Genomic DNA, 18828 nt, shown 5'->3' on the forward strand with positions numbered 1-18828 from the left:
TAAGGTGTTTCCAGAAGTAAGACAGAAAATATTTAATTGGTTAAAGTAGAACACCCCTAGTTGGAGATTAGTTGGCAGTTTCTTATTGATAAAATTTCTAGTTAGAGGTTAGTTTGTGGTTTCGTGGTTTCTGATTGGTAGATACTCTAATTAGATGTTAATTGGCAGTTCTGATTAGATAAGCTTAAACTTTTTTTTATTTTATTATTATTATACTTTAAGTTTTAGGGTACATGTGCACAATGTGCAGGTTAGTTACATATGTATACATGTGCCATGCTGGTGTGCTGCACCCATTAACTCGTCATTTAGCATTAGGTATATCTCCTAATGCTATCCCTCCCCCCTCTCCCCACCCCACAACAGTCCCCAGAGTGTGATGTTCCCCTTCCTGTGTCCATGTGTTCTCATTGTTCAATTCCCACCTACGAGTGAGAATATGCGGAGTTTGGTTTTTTGTTCTTGCAATAGTTTACTGAGAATGATGATTTCCAATTTCATCCATGTCCCTACAAAGGACATGAACTCATCATTTTTTATGGCTGCATAGTATTCCATGGTGTATATGTGCCACATTTTCTTAATCCAGTCTATCATTGTTGGACATTTGGGTTGGTTCCAAGTCTTTGCTATTGTGAATAGTGCTGCAATAAACATACGTGTGCATGTGTCTTTATAGCAGCATGATTTATAGTCCTTTGGGTATATACCCAGTAATGGGATGGCTGAGTCAAATGGTATTGTAAGCAATAGAAACGCACTCAAATTAGCTAAGGAGAAAAGGATACTTTATTATAAGAATCAGGAGTATCACAGTTAACCTGAAGGCTGGAGGCAATGGTCCTGACAAGAAACAGGACCAGAAGGTGGCTATTCTCTCTCTCTCTCTCTCTCTCACACACACATACACACACACACATACACACACACACAGAGTTCTGTTTCTCCCTACATATCAGACTCATCCTTCTCTCTCAACATTCATCTGCTCCTCCAAGTACCTGTTTGCCTCCACAACTCCTGACCATACAAGCCTCTAGTCCCAGAAGAGAGTATACAGGATCAACATAACCCAATTCCAATCAACAGGAAAGATAATCCAATTAGCCCAGCTGTGGTCAGAGCTCCACCCTGCATCCACCAACCATGGCCCAAGTAGGATTAAATAATGCAAAAGTGGTGCTGCATACCCAGTTGCAAATGAGTAGGCTCATTCTCAGAGAATATGCAGTTGTGGTCACAGACACCAGAAAGAAACAGTCATGTGAACATTCCTGAAAAGTGGACTGAAGAGAATTTACATGTTTTCAATTAAATGTTTCATTTGCTTTGGTAATACAGTCTGGGTGGGCAGAATGCCGTGTGTGAAACTCAGTGAAGGACCCTTCACTGAGCCAGGGATGTGAGCGGCCCCACACTATGGGGAATAGTGAAGGAACTGAAGCTGCCCTTCTAGAGAAACAAAGACTTCAAGAAGATCTGCTGCTGCTGCCTTTCTTCAAATGCTTGATGGATCATCATTTTGAAGACAGATGAGTCTCTAGCGGAAATAACCAGGTCAGTAATAGAACAGCCTGGAAATGATGTGATGGCCTTGAGGTTAGTAAATTTTCTATCAAGAAAGGGATTTCGAAATTGTGGAAACAATTTTATGTGATGTTTATAGAGATAATTCAAGTGTCCAATAGAGGATTAATTACATGACTTACATTTAGCTACAGACCTGTAATTAGATGGCCTTCCAATCCTCAAATTTAACAATTTTTCTAATCATCAGTCAAGGCCTATCTTAGAATACACAAGAAGAAAGGATCTTTCAACAACAGGCATTCAAGAAGAGCTCTTAACATTGAGAGACAGGAAATCTGGGCAACACAGTCTAGTTCATTCTCAAACTCAACTCCATGGCATGTTAGCACCCATGGGGTATCTATAGGTATTCTACAAACACAAGACCTACTGTCAAGTAAATGCTACTTAAATAAAGCAAAACAGGCTTCTTTACTGCAGGATATTGCAGAGCCTTTAATAAGTTGATGTTTATCATGAATCTCCAATAGATGAAATACACTAAACAATGTTTCCCAAACTTATCTGACCACAATGAGGACTTAATGGCATCACCTAGCACATTAACTTCCCTGAAACAAGAGTTTAGGAAATGCTGGTATAGCTCTGGTGCCTGATTCTATCCCTTTTTTGTGTCACATATCCTTTTGAGAACCAGGTAAAAGCTATAATACCCTTCCACTCCCACCAATGAAAAATAAACATGCAAAAATGCACACCAAATTGTGCACATAACTTCAAGGTGGGTCGCAGACTCTAGTGACTCATCCATGGATTCTTAGGTTTTCCTGAACATCAAGTAATAAATCCCTATCCATAATTTTCTCTACCTTCATACATCCCTAAAGGGTCATAAAATAAAGGCACAAGTCTTCTTTATTGCATTGTTTGTGCAAGTTGTACACAATTTTCTCTAGACACACCTTAGCGCTATCCCTCAGTACATACCACCTGAAAGAGGGCAGGACTCCTACAGCCTCTGGGACACCTCCCAGTTTATCTTCTCTCAGTTGGACTCTCATGCAACTGAGTTTGGATCTTTCCAAACCAGAAGTCCTATTTAACGTGGTGAATAAAAAGATGTTTGAAGTACATTTTGCTTTTTTTTTTTTGAGACGGAGTTTCACTCTTGTTGCCCAGGCTGGAGTGCAATGGCGCAATCTCAGCTCACTGCAACCTATGCCCCCCGGGGTTCAAACGATTCTCCTGCCTCAGCCTCCCAGTGGCTGGGACTATAGGTGCACTTCAACATGCTCGGCTAATTTTTGTATTTTTAGTAGAGGCAGGGTTTCGCCATGTTGGCCAGGCTGCACATTTTTAAGATAAAGTTTTTTCTAACACATAAAAAAGTCTGGAGAACTAAGTAAGTGTATTATTCTTATTCTACTATGCGGATCATCAAGAAATGCCATTATTTATAAAAACATGATCTTGGAGGCAGAGAAGCCCCTCTTTATTTTTTTACAAAAGGGTTCTTCTTGGCCACATTTCTGGGTACCACCAGAAAAATGAAATATCTGGGGACAGGTATAAGATGAACAAGTGAAATAGCACAGGGCAAACAGTTCAGATCAAATGAGTTGTGTAAACCAGAGGTTATAAAATAGCATAGGTAAAAAGAACAAGTTTATCGTTTCAAAATTACTTCACTTGATCTTAGCCAAAAAAACCAAAAAGTGACTATTTCAAAATTACTTCAGTCCTATAAAAAATGAAGAGTCTTAAAATGGACATTAAAAGGGCCTAACTCCAGTGCGTGCATGTGGAAGCCAGATATATTACTTCTTGTGCATCTGTCATTCATTTTATAATTGAAGCTTATGAATACCCCAGTTGAAAAACAAATGGTTTATATCAATGGGAATGATTTAGTTTTTATTTTTATCAGAGTTAGTACATGTTAATAATTTTTTCTTAAAGTAATAGTTGTTTGCACATTATAAGCACATGTCTTGTGCTTTCCTTATAAGGATATCCAATGAAAAATTTTTTCTCTTTGGCCTCCTTATAGTCAGCATATTTCCATTTGTACGAGAAGCAAGTAGTCATTTGAAGTCATGGAGAAATGTCTGTTTGACTAACAGATGTCTATGCTGGAGTAAGCAGGAAGTCTTACAGTTCCTTCCCAATACAAAGGCCCACTTATGATAAAAGAAAAGACCAAACAGCTTGGGGATAAATAAGGCAGTTTCTATTCCAACAAACATCTGTTCTAAACCTGCCACAAAGGTGGAACCAAGGAAATCCCTAGTACCTCATAACTAAATGCATTTTTCTTTCTTTTACCCCTTTCCTACCCTCTCGGTGACCATTCTCAACATTACTGAAAATCAGCCAGAATATTGCTTTATTTGTTCCACCACTGATACTTTAATCTGGAATGCTTAAGAGCCAACCTCTAGCTATAAGGAAGCAAGTCTGCTCAGAAAGTGATGAACTCTGTGACCTGGAGATTAATTTAAAATACAGTTTAGTCATTTATTGAGCACCACTGTATGCAATTCACTGTTCTAGGCACTCTGGATACAAATGTGTGCATGGTGGGCATCCCTTATCGGTAAAGACAGCCAATCAATGCGTACTCAAAGAAGCGAATAAGTTAATCTTACAAAGTGATAAAACAAAATAAGGTGATATGATAGCAAGTAACTGACAGAAGATAGAGAGGAGGCTAATTTAGAGTGGGTCATATGTGGAGGTGAATGTGTACAGAATGCCAAGGAGCAGTCTGCCTTCTGCAGATCTAGGACAGAGTGTTCCAGAAGGAGAAAACATCAAGTACCAAGGACCTGAGGTGGAAACAAACTTGGTCTGTTCAAACAACAGAATGAATGCTCAAGTGGCTGGAGCATAGTGAATGAAGGGAAAGTGAGAGGTGATGAGTCAAGAGGAAGGCCAAATAGAAATTACAACCCAGAAATCATAAGGGAAAAAGACAACTGTGGCTCTAAATAAAGGCAAATGTTATGCCATCTCCTCAGCTAAGCGAACAAAATAATTACCCAGAAGGTGATACAAATCTCATTTTTTGTCACCTAGAAATAATGCAAATCTATGATAGTGGGATCCTAAACAAATGTTCCAGAAAGGGACTTTTTAATAATATAGCGCAGACTAGACCTGTCCTCATCAATAGGTACTTTCTTCTTCTCTAGGGTAAGGTTCGTCCAGAAAGTGGTTTGCTCCATTCCTTTTCTCAGGTAGCAAATGCCCATTCATTCATCACCTCCTTTGCACCCTGGAACCTGGGTGTTCCATATTACCAGAGCGATAAGATGCAAGCTCTGGCCTTAAAGGATTATTCTGGAAGTTTGCCAGACCACTGGATTGTTTCCCAGTGCTCTGCAGAATGAGCACATTGTTTCTAGGTACAGTTAACATGGATTATTATCAGAGAGCTGGTTCACCCTAGATGAATTAATGAATTCTGACACCATACTTCAGATTACTGTCTTTTGCTAACCTTTTTGTAGCCTCTAAAAAAATTGAAATGAGACAAAATCTGGTATCCCCTCCTCCATATTAGGCCAGGCTCTATTCCACTCCAAGTAGCAATCACCAAAGGGAAGAAAAGGTACCAGGTAAGTAAAGAATGAAGAGGGAGATTTTCACCAAAGAAACTTTTACAGTTTTAGGAGAGCATATATATTTATATATTAACTAAGTAAAAGGCAGAGAACCTGGGCAACATGGTCTAGTTCAACAGCCTAGAACTAACCAGTTTAATTCAAATATACACACATACACACCCAGAGGCATACCTCACTTTATTGCACTTTACTGTATTACACTGATATTGCATTTTTTACAAATTGAAGGTTTGTGGCAACCTTGCACTGAGCAAGTCTACTGACACCATTTTTCCAACAGCATGTGCTCACTTCATGTTTCTGTGTCACATTTAGTTAATTCTTGTAATATTTCAAACTTTTCATTGTTGTTATATCTGTTATGGTGATCTATGACAGTGATTTTTGACGTTACTATCGTAACTGGTTTGGGGCACCATGTATCATACCCATATAAGATAGCAAACTTAATAAATGTGTGTGTGTTCCGAATGCTCCACCGACTGGCCATTCCCTCTCCTCTATCTCCCTCTCTTCAGGCCTCCCTATTCCCTGAGACACAACAATATTAAAATTAGGCCAGTTAACATCTCCACAATGTCCTCTAAGCTTTCAAGTGAAAGGAGCAGTCGCATGTCTCCCAGTTTTCCTCAAAAGCTAGAAATGATTAAGCTTAGTGATGAAGGCATGTTGAAAGCTGAGATATGTTGAAGCTTCTCGCACTAAACAGCCAAGTTGTGAATGCAAAGGAAAAGTTCTTGAAGGAAGTTAAAAGTGCTACTCCAGTGAATACACGAATGATAAAAAAAAAAAAAAAAAAAAGAAAAAATGGTGTTATTGTTGATATGGAGAAATTTCAGTGCTCTGGAAAGAAGATCAAACTAGCTACAACATTCCTGTAAACCAAAGCCAAATCAGAGCAAGGCTAACTCTCTTCAATTCTATGACATCTAAGTGAGGCAAGGAAGCTACAGAAGAAAAGCAAAGCTAGCACAGGTTGGTTCATGAGGGTTAAAGAAAGAAGCCATCTCGATAACATTTAAGTGCAAGGTGAAGCAGCAAGGGTTGACATAGATGCTGCAGCAAGTTACCCAGAAGATCTAGCTTAGAGCATTGATGCACGTGGCTACACTAAACAACAGATTTTCAGTGTAGATGAAACAGCCTTTTCCTGGAAGATGTCATTTCAGGCTTTTCCAGCTAGAAAGAAGTCAATGCCTACCTTCAACAGACAGGCTGATTTCCTTATTAGGGGCTAATGCAACTGGTTACTTTAAGTTGAAGACAATGTTCAGTGACTATTGCGAAAATCCTAGGGCCCTTAAGAATTATGCTAAATTGACTCTGAGCCTGTGCTTTATAAATGGAACAACAAAGTCTGGATGATAGCACATCTGTTTACCACATGGCTTCCTGAATATTTTAAGCCCACTGTTGAGACCTAATTCTCAGGAAAAAAAAAAAAAGATTCCTTTCAAAATATTACTACTCATTGACAATGTATGTAGCCACCCAAGAAGTCTAATGGAGATGTACTAAGAGATGAATGCTGTTTTCATGCCTGAGAACACAACATCCATTCTATGGCCCATGGATCAAGAAATAATTTTGACTCAAGTCTTCCTATGTAAGAAATATATTTTGTAAGGCTATAGTGGCTATAGCTGCTATAGCTAGTGATTCCTCTGATGGATCTGGGCAAAATCAATTGAAAACCTTCTGGAAAGAATTTACCATTCCAGATACCATTAAGAACATTTATGATTCATAGAATGAGGTCAAAATATCAACATTAACAGGAGTTTGGAAGAAGTTGATTCCAACACTCTGGATGACTTTGAGGGCTTCAAGACGTCAGTGAAGGAAGTAACTACAGATGTGAAAATAGCAAGAGAACTAGAATTAGAAGTCAAGCCTGAAGATGGGACTCATCATGAGGTACTGCAATCCCATGATAAAACTTTAATGGATGAGGAGCTGCTTCTTACAGATAGTAAAGAAAGTAGTTTCTTGAGATGGAATTGACTGTTGGTGAAGATGCTGTGAACATTGTTCAAATGACAACAAAGGATTTAGAAGAGTATAGAAACTTAATTGTTAGAGCAGCAGCAGTGTTTGAGAGGACAGAGTCCAATTTTGAAAGTGTTCTAGTGTAGGTAAAATGCTATCAAAACAGCATTGCATGTTTCACAAAACATGTGAAATATGTTTCACAAAACATGTGAAATACGTTTCACAAAATAAATCTTTTGTGAAAGGAAGAGTCAATCGGTGCCGCAAACTTCATTGTTGTCTTATAAGAAATTGCCACAGCCACCCCAGCCTTCAGTAACTACTATCCTGATCAGTCAGCAGCCAACAATATTGAGGCAAGACCCTCCATCAGCAAAAAAGATTATGACTCACTAAAGGCTGAGATGATTGTTAGCATTTTTTAGCAATCAAGTATTTTAAAATTAAGGTATGCATATTTTTTGTCATAATGCTCTTACATTCTTAATAGACTACAGTATAGTGTAAACATAACTTTTCTATGTACTGGGAAACCAAAAATTTCATGTGACTCACTTTACTGCAATATTTATTTTATTGCCATGGTCTGGAGCTGAACCCACAATATCTCCAACGCATGTCCGTATATGATTTATATAAATATATATTTTATACATATGTATGATATATAATCATATATACATACAAAATAAAATGAAAGTTGTGCAATAAGAGGGCCTTAAAAATGTTTTTTTTCCAAAGTCAGTATATACAAGTCCAGCTTTCCTTATCCAACTAGTGAAGTGATGATTTTCTCCACTTCCTATCATATTACATGTCTATATCACGAACTCATTTCCATTCTCTTTTTTCTTTTTTTTTTTTTGAGACGGAGTTTCAGTCTTGTTGCCCAGGCTGGAGTGCAATGGCGCGATCTTGGCTCACAGCAACCTCCGCCTCCCAGGTTCAAGCGATTCTCCTACCTCAGCCTCCCACTCATTTCCATTCTTAGAAAGAATATAACGCTGTCTTCAACTTGTGTGCTGCTGTTTCTGTTCCACTGTTCTCATATGTGTTATTCATTTTAGGTAAATAGCATTTGGAGAGCAGTAAACCACACTTGTTTAAAACAAACATGCTGGTGATGCCTTCCGATATTAGTTTAATTACTTTCACGTTGTTGACCTTTTTGTTCTATAAAGTAGCCCAAAATATTATTCTGACATTTGGTTTATTCAAGATAAAGAAACCAAGTAGATACCTTTTAGACAGAGTTTAATGCTTACATATCACCTTAGTCATTTACTCTTTTCTCATCCATTAAATATTACTTTTTTGTTTTGTTTTTAGAGACAGGGTCTCGGCTCTGTTACCCAGGCTGGAGTACAGCTCACTGCAGCCTCGAACTCCTAAGCTCAAGAGATTCTCCTGCCTCAGACTCCTGAGGAGCTGGGACTATAGGCGTGTGTCACCACACCCAGCTAATTCTTTTCTTTTTGTAGAGACAGGGTCTTGGTGTGTTACCCAGGCTGGCCTCTAACTCCTGGGCTCAACTGATCCTCTTACCTCAGTCTCCCAAAACGCTGGGTGTGAGATACCATTCCCAGCCTCATTAAATATTACTTTGGAATGGAATAATTAAAGCTCAGAAAATAAATTTCCCCTAGATTGGCTATTAGTAGACACAAACTCTAAGTTTTACCATCTTTCAATTCATTCTTTGCCATTAGATTTTCTCCTTTCCCCAAAAAGGGGGCAATAAAATAGTAGGCACTGACCCAACTCCTATGATTTCACATTGTCATATTTATATGACAAATATGTGTGTGTGTGTGCACTTGTGTGTTTATGGTTTATGTACATGCACATATATGCACACTATTACCCATTTCCCTTATATATAAGGACACTCAAGTGATGTCCAGGGTAGCACATACAATTTTTTAAGCACGTAAACATACTTGAATATACTCAAAAACATAAGCAACCATTGCTTTACATTTTGCATTAATTACCAAGACTCTATTTTAAAAACCAGTATCTTTAAAGATATTTCTGATAATGTGAGTAATACATCAATTGGGTAAAGGAGAAGTGTTTGATGAGTTAAGGATGACAATTAATGCTACCTGGATACTAGCCACTAGAAATATTAAACCACTAGCCCACAGTCTTCAAAAGACTTCCAACTTTTGACTGACCAACTCCCTAGATACTAGCTCTAGAACAGCTAACTTGCTATTGAAGGCCTCTAATGAGCAACTGATAATGTTCCCTGAGATAATTACATTCACAGCTAATTAGCCCTTCATTATCTTTTAAACAAATGAATTTCTTAGTTACCAGATTTCCTTGCAGAATTACTTTTTAATGCTCTAAAACGAAGTTCTGTTAATACTTTTAATAAACTGTGTATCAAAAATCATTCTACAAAATGTAGCCTCTTTAGACTTTTGCTCTGAATAAAAAATATACAAATAATAATAATTTAATCTGAATCAAGAAAAGCCAAAAACAAAAAAAACCCTCTGACCATGAACAGAACTACCAAGGAGGAGTATATACGGAACACACTGCCTATGTACATTAATGTTTCAGCTTCAGCTGACCCACATCTGTAAATCTAGACAGCTAGTTACCATGTGTCTTCCCAACTGAAAAAGGCAAAAGACAACTGGCTGCCACATGCTTTTTACAAATAAATTGTAAACAGGTTACTCAGTATAGGCCACATATATAGGATTTACACATGAGTGCCCCAGGAATAAATTTGGCTCAAAGCCTCCTTCAGCTAAAAAGCTTCAGGCATCACGATATTCCCATATGTCTACTGTATAATGAAATGTATAACAATTTTTACCCTGAAGGTTGTTTTGTACTAAGAATGAGATTGGGCAGTGGGTAACTCAGGCAACCATCCAAAGGAGTTCTTATCGCTTATCCATGTGTATGTATATTTAAAGATGTGTACCACATTCTTTGGAAACCATAAATAATGTACCAAAAAATTCTGGAAGTACATTGTATCACTCTCCATGCCATAGTATACATACACGCACACACACACATACACACATACACACACACACAGCCATAAAGGTCAAGAAATGCTCAAGGTTGGGACATTTGTTACAAACAACAGTGATAATTCTCTTTATAAAGACTTCTCTTACCTCCACACTGGCTGAGGCTTACTAAGATGGAGAGGAAAGGTACCTGATGCTTTGGGAAGAGAGCTCTGAGTGAGAAGCCAGAATAACAAAGAGAAGGTTTCGGAAAGAGGCTGCTTTCATCCTGTTATGTTTCAACATCAGAGGGGGATGGTAAAGAGAATTCTTGAGGTTTCTATCTTGTCTGTCTTAGCTCAATAGAGTACGAAAACTAAGAAGAATTTATGCAAAAGCTTCAACTATGAATAAATAGCACCCATCTGCTTGGAGTGGCTTGTGTCTTACCTTCCCAAGAACTTCAAATGGGGCAGCAGTTAGGAATTGAGAAGGATCTGGGGACACAGCTAACAGTGTTGCAATTCATGCATGCATCCATTCACCCAATGTTAACTGAAGTCCTATTAGATGTAGGGTCTTGTATTAAGAAGAGAGAAAGATGGTTTGGATGAGAATTTTGCCAACATGTGTAGAAGTAAAGATGGATAATTACTAATACAAAATAATAATGATAAATGCCCCAAGAAGGTACAAATAAAATACAGTAAGAGTTAAGTAGAGATGGCTTCCAGCTCAGGAATAGGAAAGGAGTTAATAGCTTTTCCCAACCCTCTAGAATCTAATTTCCCATTAAGACTTCATCTTTTCAAAATGCCCTCATGGTTCCTCCTTACCCTTATCTTCATGGATACAAGTGTTCCTCCTTACTGTTCCTCCTCATTGTTCCTCCTTACCCTTATCTTCAAGGATACAAGTGTTGGAGGAGGGTGTTTATACAGTATGTTTTATTTGATCTCATCCCCTAGGGACACCCTACCTTTTACTTAAAATCAGCTGTCTCTACCTCCTTCCAGCCAGACTGTTCTGTCTTCCAGTGACCCATGCTCACTTTGAACTATGATTTTCCCCTCCGGAGTAAACTTCAGAGTTCTATTCCTCACTCATCAGCTCTTGAGCACCACACCACCTGACTCATGTTACAGGAGTTGTGAAATCCCTCTCTCACTCACACAGGGCAATCCACATGTGATAAGCACCAGTGTCTTCACAAATAGGTAAACCTGTCTGGTCATTCGAGCTCCACTGAGCAGCAAATAAAACTAGCTTTTCATTCATCTACCAGGCACTGGTTGATTAGTAACCAGTGTCTACGATTGTGGGTGACAATGTTTTACTATTGCAATTTATTTTATCCTTTTTATGTTATTATGAGAGAGAGGAGAAAGAGAGAAAAAGATGTGAGAAAGAGTAAAGCACATGCTGGGTACTGAGAAAATGTTTGTGGAATAAATGAATTTTTCCATCTGTGCTTTAAAATATTTGTTGTTTTACCCACATGGAAGGAAATATTTCATATCAAGCATTACCAGTCTGGAAACTCGCCCTAAGTCTCTATATGGTGGGGAGAAGAAGGAAGATAAAAACTGAAATAAGATGGTTCGAAATAATAAATAGCATACCCTACGGGTAGATCTAGCCTGTACATGGCTCAAAGGTGATAAGGAGGATATTGTCTGGGAAGCAGAATGCAGCAGACAACAAAGCTCTCAGACAATAAGAAATATGATAAACCGTTACCCACTTCCATATGCTTTATGTTTTGGGACCATACAGAATCTTTATCATGAAGATACCAGAAGGTAGTATGGCAGATTGAGATTTGGTGCCTCTATTGACCACAGATTCTAAAATTCAAGCCCTAGTGTTATCTCCTCTCACACTACCTCTAGGCTTGGCTATGTGATGAGTTTTGTTCTCATAGAATGCACTTCTTTTTTTTTTTTTTTGAGATGGAGTGTAGCTCTGTCACCCAGGCTGGCATGCAGTGGCACGATCTCAGCTTACTGCAACCTCCATTTCCCTGGTTCAAGCAATTCTCCTGCCTCAGCCTCCCAAGTAGCTGGGATTACAGGTGCCCATCACCATGCCTGGTTAATCTTTTTCTATTTTTAGTAGAGACGGGGTTTCATTGTGTTGGCCAGGCTGGTCTCAAACTCCTAACATTGTGATCCACCTGCCTCGGCCTCCCAAAGTGCTGGGATTACAAGTGTAAGCCACCGTGCCTGGCCAGAATGCACCTTTTTATCCCCTAGCCACCATGCTGTAAGTAAACCCATGCAGCCATGTGGAAAGACCCATGTGGAGCAGACTTGAAACCTTGGCTTACAGCCCCAGTTAAGGTCCCAGCCAGAGGCCAGTATATAAACTGCCAGAGATGGAACTGAGGCCATTCTGAACCTTCCAGCTGTACCCAGTGTCCCTGCTGACACCTTGCAAAACAGAACTGCCAGTCAATAGATTCATGAGAGTATAAATCACTTCTGGTTTAAGTCACTAAATATTATAGTAGTTTGTCATGCAGCAATAGATAACCAAAATATGTAGAGAGTGAAAGCAATAATCTACATATTATTAAATGAGTTCAAAACCAGCCTTGGTACAGTTTTGACTCTCTTGAGTCTCCCCAAGTCCTGAGATCTTGGTCCAGCGTTTTTCAACCTGGCTGTCTGCCAGAATCACCTTCAGAGCTTTTTCGAAGTACATGTAACTGGGCCCACCTCAGAAATTCTGATTCCAAAATATCCAGTAGAGCCTGTCAACTTCTTTGTAAAACGTTCCACTGGTGTGTACCCAATGTCAGAACTCCCAGAAGAGTCTGTACTGACATGACCAGATGTTTTAAAATGGACAATATCACATATGACCTCACATCCACCCTTGACACAGAGAATGGTATCTTAACAACAATCTGTTGTAACCAGTTTCTTTTATGGAGCAATACTGCCCTTAGAGACTCTACAAGAAAAATAAAATGGTGTTGTGTTGGAATATGTTTTCCAAACCTTCGTTGGAAAAAAACAGTCAACTCTATATACTTTAACCACCAAAATGTTCTCAAGGTCAAGCTGAGCACATAAACCTCAAATAAGGAGTTGATGAGAGGGGTTACCTAACAGGAGCAGAGGAGAAAGGAAGCAGGGCAGCATGAGAGTGTCGCTGCAACAATTGCTCCTTCTGTCCACCCTGGCTTAGTTATGGTCAGAGGAAAGGGAGAGGTTGTGCAATTGTGTACATAATGCTGGGTGGGAGTGAGGTGGGTTCAAGGAAGCGGGAGGTCAGGGTGGCCCATTTTCCTCATCTGCTCAACATAAGCATGTGAGGAAATAATAATGTCTTTTAATAATATCAATGAAAGACAAACATCAGGGGAATGGGCATTGAGGTTATGAGGTCCAGCCAGTCTCTCGAACAAGGAGATTCTCCCTTCACTGCCAATCTTGCAGAACCTGTACATGTGTTTATGAAGAGGAGAGAAGGGTTTGGGTCTTTTTATGTGTCACGGCAGCAGTAGCATGAGCAAGAAATAACCAAGGGGAAGACAAAATTCAGGGGTCAAGACCTCCTCCCAATGTGAAGATCTTCCTCCAGTGATAATTTTAGGCAATCTGGATTGACTTTATTAAGGGAGATAAAGGATTTCCCTAAAAAGTAAAATGGATTAATATGTCTGAGAACATGGATAAGAGTAAAAGGATGCTTCATGTCTCCTCCCTGCCTGGACATGTGTTAATTCAAGGCTCTCTTTGTTGCAAGTGAATGAAAACAACTCAAACTGCCTTCAACATAAATCAGAAGATGATTTAAAAAAAAAAAATCTAAGGGTATTGTGAACTCCGTCATGGCTGGATCCAGGTGCTCAATTTTTCATGAAGTTGCCTCTCTGTGTCTTGATCAGCTTTCCTCTTTGCAGGCTCCATTCTCAGGAAGGCTCCCCAACCCCACCACCAGGCCACTGGGGGTGGGGTGTGACAAGATGGAAGCGAGAAGCTCCAGGTCACTTTTTATCCTCACAACAACCTCCACAGAAAGATTTCTCTTTTTCTAACGATCTCCAAGAACTAAGTCTTCTCCACTGTGATTGGGTCACATGTCACTGTGATTGGGTCACATGTCCATCATTGAGCCAATCACTATGCAGGAGAATGTAATTTCCAGTGTGGCCAGCCCTGAAGCATGAGGAGGAGTCAGCTCCACCCAACCTATGTGTTCTGACAGTGAAGGAGGGGCAGTTTCCCATGAAAACTCAAGGATTTGTTTTGTTTTACCAGAAACAGGGTGAATAGATGCTATACAGTTAAATGCCATCTCTGGCTTAAAGCCGAGAACTGGGCCTCTGGAAGAACAACTTATACATTTTTGAAGAGGGAGTTCTGTGTTTTGAAGTAGTGACTGTGCAGGCCCTGCACGCTTGATGGCACCCACAGATGCCTGCCCTGTACCCTCCATGGTAAACAGTTCTTGATCCTTCTCCAGCATCCAGCAGTCACCCTGAAACTGGCTGGGGTCATGGATGCTCAACCTCATCCTCAAAGGCCTAGAACAGAGCAGCTCAATTGCCACTTATTTATTCTGATGAAGTCAGTCAGTCAAAACGCGAGGATTTTTGGTCTCAGCTCCTCCACTGGCTTGTTGCTTTGTGCCTGGAGAGTTCAACAACTGTTAAATCTTTCAGCTTTCACTCAAGTAAAAAAAAAAAAAAGAAAGTCCAAGATTCTTCAAAAAGACATTCTACTGAAATGAAAAACATTTCAAATATACTGTCATCACTCTTACAAGTCTTCTCACCTGAGCCAAGTAACAATGTGTGCCAGATGAATAAAAAGAAGAATGCCAACTTTATAGATTTTACCACCTCATACTTTTTCAGGTCTGTGAAAAATGTTTAACGGGTGAGTAATTTTTTTATAATTCTCTACAAATCTGCTCCACATCAAAGATTGTTTTGGGGAGGGTGTTTCCAAGAGACAGAGCAGAATACTTAAGCTAGGATAGTTTGATATTCACCATTCCTGGTATATTAAAGTATTTGGTGATGTAAGGAATAAAAGTCTCCAGATCCCCAGCTTGGTGGTCAGCATATTTTATAATCAAGCCAGAATCTTGTTAGTTTCTCATAGTATCTTAACATATGTAGTTGAAGGAGTAAAAAGCTATCTCTTCTTCATTCTTCTTTTTCTATTCTTAGCCTCCATCTTGGCCCAACTCCATCCCCAATTTGAACCTAACCAAGTAAATATTACGTGGTGTTATCATTTGTGAGCCTTGCCTCAAATGCATAAGCATAAAAGAATGTGTGATTGGGGCACAATAAAAAGAAGGCACCATGAGAAACATACATCCTGTCTACCTTATTGACAATCCTCTGGCCTCCACACTGAATGGCACTAATAACACGGACAAGCACACAGAGAAAAAAGAGTGAAGAAAGACTCCCCCTTTCACTTTCACTCTCAGAAAGGCTTAGCAGGGTATCCTCTTTGGTACAAAGAGAAGGAATAACCTCATTCCAATTTTTGGTATTGGTGAGACAACCTAAAATCCCCTGGTATAGCAGTTTTTAGATTGTGTTTCATGGATCCCCAAGATCCCACATGAAGAAGAAATTATTTGAATGTCTGTATGTTAAATTTGTGCCTGCCCTATCATTTCGTGCCTCCCCTTTCCTCTCTCTCCAGCCAACACTCCACCAGCTAGGACTGAGATCCAAGCCACAGAAGACAATGCAAAAACTTTCTATAGTCCTGGAAAGTCTGATGAACTGTGAGCTAGACCACAGAAAGTCATGGCCACATGAATCTAGTTTTTGTACCCTCACTTTGATCCTCCTTGCCAGTCTGGCTCTTTGTTTAGGTGACCCTTGGCCTCTGGAGTCAATGTTTGTCTTCTAAATGCTATTTCAACACTAACATCTGGTGATGTCCCCCAGCCTGACATTTGTGAAGCAGATGCTTCCAGTGGCCTGGAGTGTGCCTTCTGGGTCAATGTTTTCAATAATGCCCTCTGGCATTGATCTCTGTGGTACCTCTCCCTAGGTAAGAAAAAAATGCCACTAGGAAATGGCTGAGAAAGAACACTTCAGACCATCTGGAGGTAATCTTGGAATATAAAAACCCAGAAGTTCTTGTATAAAGAAATACCTAGAGGAAGGCAGTAGGGAAAAAAAAATCAAGTCTGTGGTATTTTTTTAAGTTGTACTTTAAATAGTCCAGCAGTTCAAACCTGACAAATCTATGCTTCATTTTAAGGAATGTCTTTCTGTTCAGGGTCATCTCTGCTGAAATGTTGAAGTAACAAAGAATAGAATCTCTTGCTGAGAAAAGCAAGCCCTCTCTCCCTACTCAGTCCCACTCTCCCTCCATGCACACACATGGGCCCACACTTTACAGTACTTTGTAAGAGGCTCCTCTCATTGTGGGCCTAGATAAAACTTCAAGGAACTAGAGCATAAATTCCACTAGCCTACATTTGGACAATGATGTCTTTTCAAATTATGGACTTTTCCTATGTGTCCTGTTAAGCTTTCAAAAGTAGGAAGCTGGTCAATGAGAATTTCTTGCTTCGATTAGATGAAGACTTCTCATCTCCACCACTGTGTCTCGAGATCTGCTCTTACTTATCACCAGAACCACCTACAGAGAAGGTCGGAATCTCCTCAATCTACTCAGGAGTTCAGTATAGGCAATGTACTCATGAGGCTACTTTGTAATATTCACCATACTGCTGTATGGTTTTTCTTTCTAAAAAGCTTAGAATCCATCATTCTCTCATTCCAACAGCCTTTCATGTTCATAAAAATCCTGTTATCCAAATGGTAACAAGGGCAGGGCAGGGTAGGGGGGTGAGCACTACACAAACCAAGTTGAAGGGGTATGGTAGGCAGAATTGTAAGATGACCCCCAAAGGCTCACACGCTTGTATAACCACCTCCCATGAGTGCATGCAAAACTTGTGACTTGCTTCTAACCAACGGAATATGGCAAAAGTGATGAGATACCACTCCCATGATTATTACACCATGTTATATGGCAAAGGTGAAGGGATTTTTGCAAACGTAGTTAAGCTTCCAAATCAGGTGACTTTCAGTTAATAAAAGAAGATTATCTAGGATAGACCTGGCCAATCAGGTGGAGCCCTTTGAAAGACAGTCTAGAGGACAGAAACAGTGGCTCATGCCTATAATCCCACCACTTTGGGAGGAAGAGGCAGGAGGATCACTTGAGCCCAGGAGTTCAGGACCAGCCTGGACAAAACAAGGAGAGCTTGTCTCTAGAAAAAAAAAATTGTTTTAAAAATTAGCCAAGCATGGTGGCATGTGCCTGTAGTCCCAGCTACTCGGGAGGCTAAGGTGGGAGGATCACTTGAGCCTGGGAGATGGAGGTTGTAGTGAGCTGAGATCGCACCATTGAACTCCAGCCTGGGTGACAGAGCAAGACTCAGTATGTATATATGTATGTATGAATGAATAAACGAATAAAGTAAAATAAATAAGGTCTAGAGTCAGAGAGCCCAAGCAAGAAAGACTCTCTTTCTGGGTTGAAAAAGTAAGCTCTCATGTAGTAAGAGGATTTGTGAGAAGTCCACATGGCAAGGATCTGAGGATGGCCTCTATTTTCTAAGAATGATCCCTGGCCAACAGCTAGCAAGAAAACAAGGACTTCAACTATACAGCTGTGAGGAAACAAATAGTGCAAACAAACTGAATGAGCTTGGAAGCACTTTATTCCCAAATCATGTCTCCAGATAAGAACACAGCCTGGCTGACATCTTGATTTCAGCCTTGTGAGACCCTGAGCAGAGAACCCAGTTAAATCATGCCTAGACTTCTGATCTGCAGGAACTATGGGATAATAAATTGGTTATATTTGAAACTGCTGAAGTTTGTGGTAATTTGTTATGCAGCAATAGAAGATTAGTACAAGGGGGTTGACTGGGAAGCAACTCAAATATATAATATCCCATAAGTCAGTCCGCTAACCACTGTGTACTTTATGGAGCTTGGATGCAGTTCTTTACTGAGAATGAGCAGTCCCATGGGACAGAGGAGAATGTGACTCTGCTTCAAAATATAGATGAATGGACGGATAAATAGCTACATAGAGATACACACATACATATAACAAGGACTTACTGTGTACCAGGATCTCTACTGAGGGTGTTAAACATTTGATCTTGTTTAAATGAGGGCTTAGAGTTAAAATGGTGTAGATACTTTTAATGCCAGAAATTTGCTGAAGCTAATGGACTCAAAGGAAATAAAAACTAACAAAGCAAAGCAAAGGACACATGAATCCACCCCTCCCAAAATCACAGGTTAAGATGTATCTCCCAGTCTCTATAGCCCTTCAAGAAGGATATGAATGTTATAGAAAGCAAAGAGGACAAGCTAGATGGCATAATCAATCTGTTCAGAAGAGTTTGATTACAGTTTTAAATTAAGAGTTTGCCAAATTACGCTGTAAATAAAACTAACAGTTTTCCTGGTGACTGATTTTGAGTGGACAGTGGGCAGGTCTGTATTTATACATGTTGGTATGAAATGCATTTAATGGGATGTTTTAAAACTGTTAGTCACAACCTATTAGTAGGTCATGAATCCACAATCAGCAAAACATGAAATCTGCCACTGACATGGAACCCATTGCTGTGTGAGTTGCTAATGTCAGTATTTTAAAGGAAACAGTTATTGTTTT

At 39.6% G+C, this 18828-nt stretch overlaps 1 long non-coding RNA gene across 3 annotated transcripts in view, besides 3 other annotated features; it reads right to left on the reverse strand.

Annotated features, from left to right (window-relative positions):
• The window catches only part of LOC105370507 (uncharacterized), a 144575-nt gene that overhangs the window by 78947 nt on the left and 46800 nt on the right, over positions 1-18828 (reverse strand). The window lies entirely within an intron of this gene.
• Positions 11125-11419: a silencer, noted in NCBI's record as "tiled region #2316; HepG2 Repressive DNase matched - State 5:Enh". NCBI's record gives its function as "represses a minimal TATA promoter and a strong SV40 promoter by Sharpr-MPRA in HepG2 cells {active_cell/tissue: HepG2}" and the evidence as "EXISTENCE:reporter gene assay evidence [ECO:0000049][PMID:27701403]".
• Positions 15925-16069: an enhancer, noted in NCBI's record as "145 bp enhancer 145 fragment used in the MPRA reporter construct; PK_construct_1643". NCBI's record gives its function as "activates an SV40 promoter by MPRA in HepG2 cells {active_cell/tissue: HepG2}" and the evidence as "EXISTENCE:reporter gene assay evidence [ECO:0000049][PMID:23512712]".
• Positions 15990-16003: a transcriptional cis regulatory region, noted in NCBI's record as "HNF4 motif; enhancer activity is reduced when this motif is scrambled". NCBI's record gives its function as "necessary for full MPRA enhancer 145 activity {active_cell/tissue: HepG2}" and the evidence as "EXISTENCE:site-directed mutagenesis evidence [ECO:0005528][PMID:23512712]".

This window comes from Homo sapiens, chromosome 14 (assembly GCF_000001405.40).
Source record: "Homo sapiens chromosome 14, GRCh38.p14 Primary Assembly".
In the NCBI taxonomy this organism is placed as follows: Eukaryota; Metazoa; Chordata; class Mammalia; order Primates; family Hominidae; genus Homo; species Homo sapiens.